Here is a 12,150-nt window from a genome sequence, read left to right on the forward strand (position 1 = left end):
TGGAGTGATTAAATAGTGTTGGCAAAGCAAATAAAAGTCCATATGAGTCTCAGCTTCAGTCCCTGCTACATGTATACAGTAGGCCTCCTTTATCCTCAGGGTAACAGCGAGACACCAATGGATGCCTGAAACCACAGATAGTACTGAATCCTATATATACTCTGTTTTTTCCCATATATCCATCATAAAGTTTAATGTATAAATTAGGCATAATAAGAGATTAATAACAATAGCTAATTAATAAAAAAGAACAATTATAATACTGTAATAAAAGTTAGTGAGTGTGGTCTCCCCCTCTCCCCCACAATATCTTATTGTACTATATTCACCTATTTTTGGACGACAGGTGACCACAGGTAACTGAAACCATGGAAAGCAAAACCATTCATAATGGGGGGACTACTGTATTTTCTCATTTAATTCTCACATCAACACTCTGGGATGAGTGGTATCATCCTTGTTTAGCAGTGAGGAAGCCAAGACACCTTAACGTGTCTAAAATAACACACTTAACAATGGTCAAAGGTGTATTTGCAGTTTGGAGGTGGGGAAAGGGAAGGTACCATCTATCTGGTGGTATTATCACCAAAATTGCTAACTAGAAAAGTATCTAAAGCAAAGACTGACTAAAACTTTTAGTAAACTTGTGGATATAGTATAGCTTCAGTTTCTTCATCGCAGACCTAATGTTTTTAAGATGAGTATATTCTCTCAGTATACTCATAAGCATCCAGAATGCACATCAACATACTCAAGCAAACCGCCATTTATACAGGTATCCAGGAAAGTTTTTACTTTTCTCCTAAGCCAGAAGATCATCATTTATTCATGGTGAAGACTCTATGAAATTTGTAACATCTATACTAACAGCTGTTTGGGGTGAAGCCCAGATAAAATTAAGGAATCTTTTCAATACTGAAATTAATTCCAATTTCAGCCTTTCAACACACATGTCCAACAAAAGACCTAATTATTTCATCATTTACATTTTTAAACAGTACTTTAGGTACCACTTGCCTAGCTAACAAGACTCTAATTTCAAGCTTCTTGTATCAGCAAATCATCGTAGTGGTGTAAACATGAGACAATTGTTGATGTTCAGAGGCCCATTACCTCTCATGATCAGAGATTTTCCATGTGAAAGATGAAATGAATGTCATATGACTGTCGCCACCTTCAAAGGCCCACGTGCAAAAACTGATGGAAGTGTTCTGACTCACTAAAAGAAACAAAAACAGTTCATCTACTTGGAATCTTTAACACACTTCGGGAAACAAACAAAACGCTCTTTGAGAGCTGGTTTGTTTTTTTCTTTACTTAAAAGAAAGCTTAATTGCAGAATCAAAGCCAAAATATAAATGCAATCCTCAGAGTGTTTTTCAATAAGAGGCACGCAATTTAGGAGATCATAGAGTGTGAGTTCAAAGAAAAGAGCCAGTGTTTACTTCTTTTAATACAATTATATATTTTAGTCTGTTTTTGAGCTGTCTTCCTGCAATCTTGCACTTGTCAAGAACAAATCCAACATTAAGTTTCTGTTTGTATCAACATGATAAATTTTGTTTCCATATCTTTGATCTGTGCTTTACTTTCTACACAAACATGCATGTATCTTAACATTCATCTACATGTTGCCTTATTAAATCCAATCCACTATCTCCTGTCCTGTTTCTCCTGCTCTAGTCTTCTTTTTCTCCATCTCTCCCAGACTGTGGGCAAATAGCCTTTGGTCTTATCTCATACTCACTGATAAAAACCTCTTTCAGAGCTGAATCGGGGCCCTGGGAATAGTCCTTTACCTTGTCAGAGCACTCTCTGTATTTTATTATTTCTCTATTCATTTTTCAGCAACATGTTATTTTCCCTTTTCAATAATTGATTGTATTCATGACTTCTGCCACTAGATTGAAAATGAATCTCCTTAAGCAAAAAAAAGTTAGATTTTGAAAGGCTTTACATTCTCTAAATAAATTCCTAACTGGCATGAACTGCCATTCACCTTCACCTAATACGCAAATGTGTTACCTCTTATTGTGACTCAAGGAAGGTAGAAGGTATTGAAACAAAGAAAACCTTTTAAATATTACCAGACAGGTGCCAAGTTCAGCAACATTTAAAGTTAGCATCCCAAACGAAATATCCTAAGGCTATTTAATGGAAGCAATTGCAAACCATGGGTCTCCTGCCATCGGGTAAAGCCAAAAGTAGTGGAAAGAGGGCTAATTATAGACTGTAAATTTTCTGCTCTTTTTGTGACTGAATTTCTTCAGGATGCTGACCCTGGAGCCATAAAATCTTGGCACCCATTATTTCACAGTGAAAAGTGTTTCACTTTTTTCTTAAGTATTGAAGTAGTTCATGATCTTAAAATGGATTTAGTGAAAAGGCAGCAGCTTTCTATTATTTTTTTCCATTTGTTCCAACAAGGTCACAGGAAAATGTCAAAAGTAACTTGTATTGGTGTTGTTACCAATTTGGTTTGTCTTAGGTCACATATAAAAGCTGACTTTTGGATACATAAATTGCTTTCTCTTAAATTTTTCTTTTTCTTAGTTAATTAATTGAGATTGACAAGCATATGTATGCAGTTCAATCTCGCCAAAGGGCTGCTTGTGCCAAAATCCACTTATTCTTTCTGGACTTTCATTATTCTAACTCCAAAGAGTTTACCAAGAGCAAAATGTAGCAAGATAGTGTCTTTCCCTAGAGACTCAGCATTTAAATAGATTAGGATCCCAAGGCAAATCAAATGCTTCATGTCCTGGGAGTTTAATTCAGCTCTTGTTAATTAACTAGTCAGTGGATTGATGATAAGATGTTAGTTATACCAGAATAAAGACAGAAATAAAATAGCCTTTCTGGATTTTCATATTTTGTCATATGTGTAGTTAAGAAAAATAAAAAACTACTGTACCCAATCTGAATGCTAATCTAAAATATCTACATTTCTGAATAATGGATGTCATGATTAGGACTGATGCTATGCATTAGCAGGCTACCTGCTTTGTATGATTTGAGAGACAATACAAGTTCTCTCCACTAGTTTACCAATCCCCTCTACCAATGTTCTCTGACCCTACCTATTAAAGTTAGATTTATATTATAACCTCCACATAGCTGACACTTTGAGTTACAGCTCAAATATGCTGTTTCCTGAAAAACAATTTTAAGTATCATAAGGGTATAAGCCTCTTAAATTAATGCACTAGTTCCTGTCAATGACTTCTCTTATTGGATGGTAGAGAGCAAGGAAGACAGCAATACCCAATATCTGTATTGTGGGAAATCCACAAGTTTACTCTCAGTATCACATTTGGGGGTACTAAGCTGTTGGCTAGTAAAAGAGAACAATAGAGGATGCGTAACTTTCTCAAAATTTAGGAGAGTAGTTCATGGGTGATAATGAGGCTGGGCTACTGAAGGAACTAACACATATGTAGAGTTAAAATTTAAATTCCTTGAAACTAGAACTGGGGCAAACTATTATATTTAACCCCTTTCTCTAAAGAACACTTCTGTTTAATTCATTCAACAAACACTGAATGCTAACCATGTGCCGGAATGTCCCGTAGGCACTGAAGATTCACAGTGACATCATTTGATTTACATTTTAGAACTATCACTCTGGCTCCTATGTGGAAAAAAGACATCAGAGTGACAAAGTCAAAAGCAGAGAAGAAAGTAAGGAACTAATTCCAATAGTCCAGGAGAGAAATGATGATAGCTTGAGGTATGACAGTAATCATGGAGGTAGTGCTAAGTGATAGGATTCACAATACAGTTTGAAGGTAGAGCCAATAGGACTTACTGATGGACCAGAAGAGATGTAGGAGGGGCCTAGGAAAATACAAGAGTAGATATGACAATTACAGAGATGGAAAGTCTTTTGGAAAGGCTCAAGAGTTCTGTTTTTGAGATGTTGAGTGGCATGGAGTAGACAGTTAAAAATATGAGTCAAGACTTCAGAGGAAAGGACCAGCTGGAAAAAGGTGGAAGTGGTTGGCAGGTAAATGGTGCTCAAAGATGGGTGTATGGATGTGATAAACTAGGCAATGAATATAGAAAGGAAAAATTCCAAACCATGGGGACTCCAACACCTAGAATTCAGGAAGAGAACAGGAGCTGGAAAAGAGATTGAAAAAGACTATTCAGAGAGATAGAGAAGTCCAAGAGTTCAGTGTCCTGTAAGCTAAGTGAAGAAAAGTTTTCAAGAAGGAGGGAATATTTAATTGTGTTAAATTCAGCAGAAAGTAGAAGATAAGAAATTAGACTTGACTACTCATTTGGCCACATCAAGTCATCAGGGACAATTGACTTTGACAAGAGCAGCTTCAGTGAAATGCTGGCTCTGAAAGTCTGGTTTCATAGCCAACATGTCACTATGATGGACTCCTCAGAGGAAGAAGTAAGGTAGTAGAAGAATGTAAACATGTTTCCAAGAGATTTTCAGTGAAAGAAAACAATATATGGGGCAGAATCCAGAGAGGGACATTTGGCCAAGTGAAGCTTTTGCTGTTTATTGATATGTGCTTAAGGAAGTTGGAATTCTTTAGGTGGTAAAAGGAATAATGACCTGGAAGTCATGATAAGAAACAACAACTATCTTGTTTTTAGTTAGGGGACAGTGTAGGAGAAAACAGTCATTTATTTATCGTATAATTTTAAAATTTTATGTTTTCCTATTTCCTCGACATCATCACAAATAAGCTGTACATCCAGGTACGCCAATGTGATAAGACTGGCCCTGCCACAATTTTCCCTTCTTGACATCCCATGACTGTGACCGACTGACATTCAAATGCACCAATGAAATTCTCTCCAGACTTTTGCTGTATCCTCCACCCTGAACCCCAATCAAGACACTTGCCCACAGGTCCTCACTGCCTCTCAGCTCCCTGCCTGTTTGGTTGAGCCCACTTTCTTGGCACTCTTTCCTGTGACCTCCTCTTGATGTACAATGTCTCTGTCTCCCAAGGATCTGTGAGTATAATAAACCTCATTTTCCTGGGCCTCTCCTGTGACCCTCTTGCGGCTGCACTTGACCGATCATCACCTGAAAGAACACAGAACACTGGGTGAAAAGGTTGCAAGGAAAAGAGTATCCTCAGGGAACTGGAAGGTCCTGCTATAGCATACAGTTGAACGGAACATTCTGAAAACAGTCTAAGGTAGAGGGGATTTTGCTAATGACAGACCATATGTTGCAAAGCACACGATGCAAAGATTTGAAGGGTTGAGTTTGGGAGGGGTGGAACTGTGAGTCATAAGATAATGAACAAGGCTTACAGCACAAAGGCTCTGGGAAGTCTGAGCTGCTTCTGTTGAGTGGGAGCCACAGGGGTATTGAGCATATTGATATTTTATGACATTGTGTTCCTTGCTTCATTATCTCTAGGCTGCCTTTAATGTTTACTGTATTATATTCCATAATTTAAATAAATCAGTGAGGATGGGAGAGACAAAAATATAATATACAATGTGATGTGGCCAGAATACCAGATGGCATGGAGAATTTAGAATATGTTTGTGTCTGGTATAGGAGAGGGAAAGAATCTGAAGGGGCACTGAGTTCCTCATGAGACATGAATTTGTAGGGTTCTTAGAGACAGATATAAGATATATGGATATACTTCACTGGCCACTATGAAAGATTAAGAAACCTCTCACTTTTTTTTGTTCTCTCACCCACCTACCTTTCCTAAGAACGAGAGGATTGGACAGGGGAAACTGGGAAAGCAAACGTCAGAGAATCAGTAGAAATCAGAACATAGGAAATCAAAGGACAAACTTCCAATACTCCCAATTATTTTCATGCATTTTTTTACTGCAAATAATTTTCCATTTAAATTTTTCCATGTTTATTATATTTTTAAGACTTTACTTTTAGAATAATAAAAAGGAATTGTATTTAGACCTGAGACCTTAATGAATTTCTTATACCTATTTATTTTATATTTCTTTTTCCCTTCAACTTACCTTTAATTTTTATTTTGTGTGAGTACATAATAAGTGTATATATTTATGGAGTATATGACATATTTTGATACAGGCATGCAATTCACAATTACCTTCTTGTTTTCATTTCCTTTATCAAATGGAATGGAACCTTATAAAGCTTTGAATAAGAGAAGTATAGTATATGTATGGGCAGGAATGAGAAATAAATTATGACTCACAAGCAGAACTGCAATTTATGTATGATGAATCTATCACCTAGAAAAAAATCAACTCTAGCTTTTCTAGTTAGAGCCTTCTCAAAACTTTCTGCATGCTTCCTTTCTCTGATTTTTATTATGTAAAACTTGATAAAAACTTTACTCTTCCTGGGGTGCTTGAATATCTATAGTCACACTTGCTAGACATTGTTTAAAATCCTCAGATTATATTTTTTCCTGATTCAGTATAACATCATGTAACTATTTTTTCTCTCAGTTACTCATGCTTATTAAAATGACACGATAAATCTATGTGTATTTCTCTTAAGGCAAAGATTAATGTTGAGTGTTAATAAATTGCCCTTTTACTCAGCTATGCAATTTGTTCCCAATAGCATCCTAGTGCTATTGGGAAACAAAGCCACAGATCATTACTTCAGGCTCATCTCCTTCTCTGTGCAACCAAATGGAAACATATCTTGCATACTTTAGATAAAGGACTAGTTCCTGTTATGCCACATTGGTAGTAGTATTTAATTGGGATAAATATCTAAATCACCCTATGTTTAAAAACTATGAACAATATCAGGGTAAAAAGAAATGTGGGGTTGGATAGCAATTTTTCTATCTCCCCAAAGTCTTAGGAAACTGATAGCCACAACGAATCTTACAAAGAGGAAGCTAATGTGTCAGCTCAAACTCTTTGAAAAAAGGGGTACAAACCCAGGCCAAAGTCTTTGAAAAGGACAGCCAGAAAGATCCATATGACTCAAAAACTCCTAACCTTACCTCCTCTCAAAGAAAAAAATTATAAATAACAAAGAAAGGAACTAAATAGAGCATACCCTACAAAAATAAAATAAAAAAAAATTTAGGCCACACTTGCAACCATTTATAGCAAAGCAGATGAGAAGGTATATGACAAACCCAGACATATGACCAAGGCAGCCCCCAAGATTTTTTTTTTTTACTCAACTACATAAAAAAATAATTTTATTACATATTTTCCATTAAGACACAAAATCTACAGGGGTATATCATATTGACTTTTATTAAATGGGAGAAAGTTCAAGATAAAAGACAATTTAAAAAGTGAAAGAAAAGAATGAGTTTGAGAAAATCTTATCAGAAATTAAGTTCTGGTGAGTGAAAATTGGGTTGTGAGGAGTGGGATACTGGTATAAAAAGATCTCCAAATAAGATGTCTCCCTGCTTCATCCTTCTCCCCATTAATTCCATGAATAAGATACATAAATGTCACCTTGTTAATATTTTGCCTTTGGTGAATTGTAGGCAAGTGAAACCTTTTTAGGGAGAGGTGATGAAATAAGATAAATCTATTTTTGGTCCTGATTTTCTCTGTAGATGCTAAGGTTCAGGATTGCATTCTACATTGCGAAAATGGCAGGAAACTTGAAGGTTTCTGCCAAAGCAAATGGATATGAGCCCTAAATTGGCACAGAAAATTGTAGGACAAATATTAATTTTATATCAAATCTGAAGGAAACTCTTAAGATTATTTATGTTATAAGTAAGAAAAAAAAAAGAAATGACATAGCCTGAATTCTAAAAACTTCAGAACACACAAAGAAAAAAAGTAGAAATAAACATATATCAATAAACACATTAAATCAGTTCTGAATATTTAAGAGTACATAAACATGTTTTAAGAATCTACGCAGAAAATGAAGCCAGCCCTAGGACTTGTGAGACAGGATGAATGCTTAGGCTGCCCACTTGAATCACATGGAATGTATTTCCCACAAGAAAGAAACATTCTGTTACCATAAGCATGTAGAAAGGGTGATGGGAAGGCAAAACATCAGAAAATCACTAAGATAAGTACATAATAATAAAAGTTTAAGTTTATCAGGAAGATATAACAATTCAAAAGAAAGTAACTTCAAATATGTAAACCAAAAGTTGGGTGAACTATAAGAAAATTTGGCAAATCCATAGCCATAGTTAGAGTTTTCAACATGCTTCTCTCAATTTTCAATAGGATAAACAAAGAACAAGTCAGGAAAGAATATTTAAATTGCACAATTACCAAACACAGTCTTTAAAAATGTATGTGGAGCTATGCAAGTAAGAATTAGAATATATACATTTTTCTTAAGTACATATAAAAAGTTTGCAAAACCATTTCAAAAACCTAATATATTATCAACCATATTATCTGAACACAATGAAATTAATTAGTCAATTCCAAAAAGACAAATGAAAACCCACATACTTAAAAAATTTCAAAGATCACTTCTAAATACCTTACAAGTCAGCGAAGAAATGTTCACAGAAATTTGAAAATACTACAAGATAAACAATAATGTAAATGTTGTATATAAAAACTTATGTGATCCAAAAAAGTAGTATTAGAAAGATTTTATAGATTAAAATGCTTATATTAGAAAAGAAAAAAAGGCCACAAATTTATGAGTAGTAATCTAACTTAAGAAAGGTGCTATGGTTTAAATGTGTTTTCCAAAATTTTTGTGCTGGAAACTTAACCTCAATGCAACAGTGTTGAGAAGTGAGACGTTTAAGAGATGATTAGGGCATGAGGACTCTGCCTTCATGAATATAGATTAATGCCATTATCATGGGAGTGTGTTAGTTATCTCAAGAGTGAACTTGTTTTAAAAGTGAGTTCTGTCCCCTTTGGTCACTTGCGCTCTCGCTCTCTCTCTTTCTCTCTCTCTCTCGCGCGCGCTCTCTCTCTCTTTCTCTCTCTCTCTCTCCCTTTTGCCTTTCCACCTTCCTCCATAGGATGATACAGCAAGAAAGCCCTCACCAAAGGAGGAATCTCCAACCTTAAACTTCTCAGCCTCCAGAATTGCAAGAAATAAGTCTCCGTCTTTTATAAATTACCCAGTCTCAGGTATTCTGTTATAGCAGCGCAAAACAAACTAAGACAAATGGCTAGTGATGCAGGATGTTACAAATAATAACTACAAATTTATGACTAGTTACAAATATTAACTAACGCCTCATGAAAGTTGCAGACATTAGAAATATGGTAAGCTACTTTATATCTACTCTGAGAGAGAGAGAGAGAGAGCAGGGTTGGGGGGGGGGGAGAGAGAGAGAGAGAGAATGTTTCTATTTTTCCTGTATAGCTTTCTTCTCCTCATTTATATAGGATGAATTCTTTGCTAGTAACTTTACAATTTTTTCCACAACTTACAAAATACCAAGATATGATACCAAGATATGTATCTGTAATAGAATAGAAATGAACATTATGAACATTATCCAGGAAAGAATGCAGAAATAGATGAGACTGTGGACCTCCCTTTTGAGGAGAGAATAAGTGAGTTTTCAGTTGAGCAAAGGGTAATTGAATTATGTTATATTGTTTTTACTTTTATGTTGTTGACGTTATTGTTCTTGTTGTTCTAGTTTTCATTGTTCTTGCTTGAAATTTTAGGTATGAGAATAAGGTTTGAATAGATGTTGAATAGTTAAAGGAGTATTTAGTTGGCTAATTCAATGCCCATTCGAGCTCACCTCTAGTTCGTCTTCCTAGTTTTCTAAAGGCTGGAAAGTTAAAGATTCTATTTCTTAGACTCACTTGCAATTGGGGTGCAAGTAAGTGATCTATGCTCTGTATCTATATAAGACTTGAGTTCATTATAAGCAAGAGGAAAAAAAAATACATGAAGCAGAAAGGAACTGGTTCTTCTTTAGCAGGTGTAATGGTTAATTTTATGTGTCAGCTTGGTTAGGCTATGGTGGCCAGTTGTTTGGTCAAACATTAGTATAGATGGTGCTGTACAGAATGTGATTTTAAGAATCACATTTTAAGAATGTGATTTTAAGAATCTTTTAAAAATGTGATTAACATTTACAATCAGTACACTTTGAGTAAAGCAGATTACTCTCCATAATGTGGGTGAGCTTCATCCAATCAGTTGAAAGCCTGGAAGGAAATATGAGAAAACACTTTAAATGGTCAATTTTGAGGCATGATAAATCTAAGTACTGGCAGGCAGCCTGCAGATGTGACAAACCGCATGGCTCGTGCACCTAAAAAGTCACAATAAGGAAACAGTATGTAGAGGAGGGGTCAGCCCATAAAAGGGAAGAAAGTTTCACTATTGCGAAATCGAAACTTAAGCGGGGAAGGGGACCGGGCTATAAACTTGTAAGGGGGATAATGAAACTTAGGCGACCTCCGGGAAGATTGTAACCCCATAGTTTGACCAATGAGGAACTGGGGGAGGGACTTGCGTGCTAGAAGATAAATTACCTGCTGTAACTGCCCCAGGTATGCTGGCCTACCAGACACACAATCTTGGAAAACCACCATTAAAAGTCTCACTTCCACTGTTCTTCGTGTCTCCAAGTCCATTCTTTGGGTTTGGACGGTTGAGTGTGTGTTTCTCACAGGCAAAGACTGAGGTTTCTCAAAGAAGAAACAAGTCTGCGTCGAGACTGCAATATAAAGACCTACCTGCTAACTTGCCCCACAGATTTCAGTCTTGCCAGCTCCCACAATTAAACAATCACATGAGCCAATTCCTTAAAATAGATGGTAGATAGATAGATAGATGATAGATAGATAGATAGATAGATAGATAGATAGATAGATAGATAATAGATAGATAGATAGATAGATAGATAGATAGATAGATAGATAGATGATAGATAGATAATTGTGTTTTTCTGGAGCACTCTAATTAAATAGACATGGCAGAGCTTTTGGTATCCATTCCAGAACATCAGTGATCCAAACAGATCAAAGTAGGTGTGGTGTTTCTGCTAGGATAGCAGATAGATAGATAGATAGATAGATAGATAGATAGATAGATAGATAGATAGACAGTATTTTTCTGGAGAACTCTGACTAATTACATAGATGTGGTAGAGCTTTTGGTGTCCATTCCAGAACATCAGTGATCCAAGCAGGTTCAAAGTAGGTGTGGTGTTCCTGCTAGAATAGTTCAAGGTGTACAGAGTGGAATTTTTTTGGCTTCATAGTTCCTGGACATGTTTTCCAGGATGAGTACTACAAAATTATGTAAGCCTTGTATTTGTCAATAAATGTCATTCTCCTTAAACTGGCTAGAGTGAATTCTGTGGTCTGTAGCCGTCCACAACATAGGTTTCCTATAGATAGCCTATGTTTTCTGTAGTCTGTAGCAACATAGGTACAGATAACCTGTGGTCTGTAGCAACATAGGTTTCCTATAGATAGCGATGTCCAAATCTGGAATGATCTTTTTAAAATATAACTCTGAGGATGTCACTATTCTACCTAGAATCCTTTAATGATCCCTCGTCAAACATAGAAACCTTTACAAAGTTTCCAATACACTCTTCTTAACTCACCCTTCCAACTTTGTCTCCCACCTCTCTACACATGGTGCTTCCATTGCAGTCACATCAAACTACTCAGAGTCTCAGTTGCTTTTGCATCATTTTCTCTTTCTGGAATGGCCATCACCTTGTACTTCTCCTGGTCCACATGAAGAACTGCATCTCACACTCAACTATAACTTTCTCTAGAATGATTGCTTAGAACTCCAACCAGTTAAACATTCTCTTTTATGTGCACTCCTTGTATGTGTGCTAAGAGTCATTTTCTATGCCTTTACTATTAAATGTATGTCATTATTTCATTTATTAATTATCAATTCCTATCTTGCCACACACACTAGAATATGTGATTATGAAGAACATAAAATGTATGCTGTTCATTTTTTTGTGTTTTTAAAACCTGAAATCTTACTTGGCATATAATAGCTTCCCAATGCTTTGGTGGATTAATGAATGATTTAATTGATGTAGCAGCATCAGTTTTTGCACATCGCAATTTTTCTTAGTCCTAGCATTTTTATTGATTCCATGGCAACAAAGTGCTTGAGTAATCTCATAGGCTATTACTCACATCCAATTGAGCTCACTAGCAGGAAGGATCATACCCAGAAGCTTTTTCAGAGAATACAGAGGTAAAAAATAACTTAAATTCATGTTGCTTATGTTACTCAAATAC

General features: G+C 35.9%; 1 annotated feature.

Moving 5' to 3' along the window:
• Positions 9,849–11,048: an enhancer, noted in NCBI's record as "BRD4-independent group 4 enhancer chr1:99839496-99840695 (GRCh37/hg19 assembly coordinates)". NCBI's record gives its function as "activates an origin of replication core promoter dependent on BRD2, P300/CBP, MED14 and CDK7 cofactors, and independent of BRD4, by STARR-seq in HCT116 cells {active_cell/tissue: HCT116}" and the evidence as "EXISTENCE:reporter gene assay evidence [ECO:0000049][PMID:35650434]".

This window comes from Homo sapiens, chromosome 1, assembly GCF_000001405.40.
Source record: "Homo sapiens chromosome 1, GRCh38.p14 Primary Assembly".
Lineage (NCBI taxonomy): Eukaryota > Metazoa > Chordata > Mammalia > Primates > Hominidae > Homo > Homo sapiens.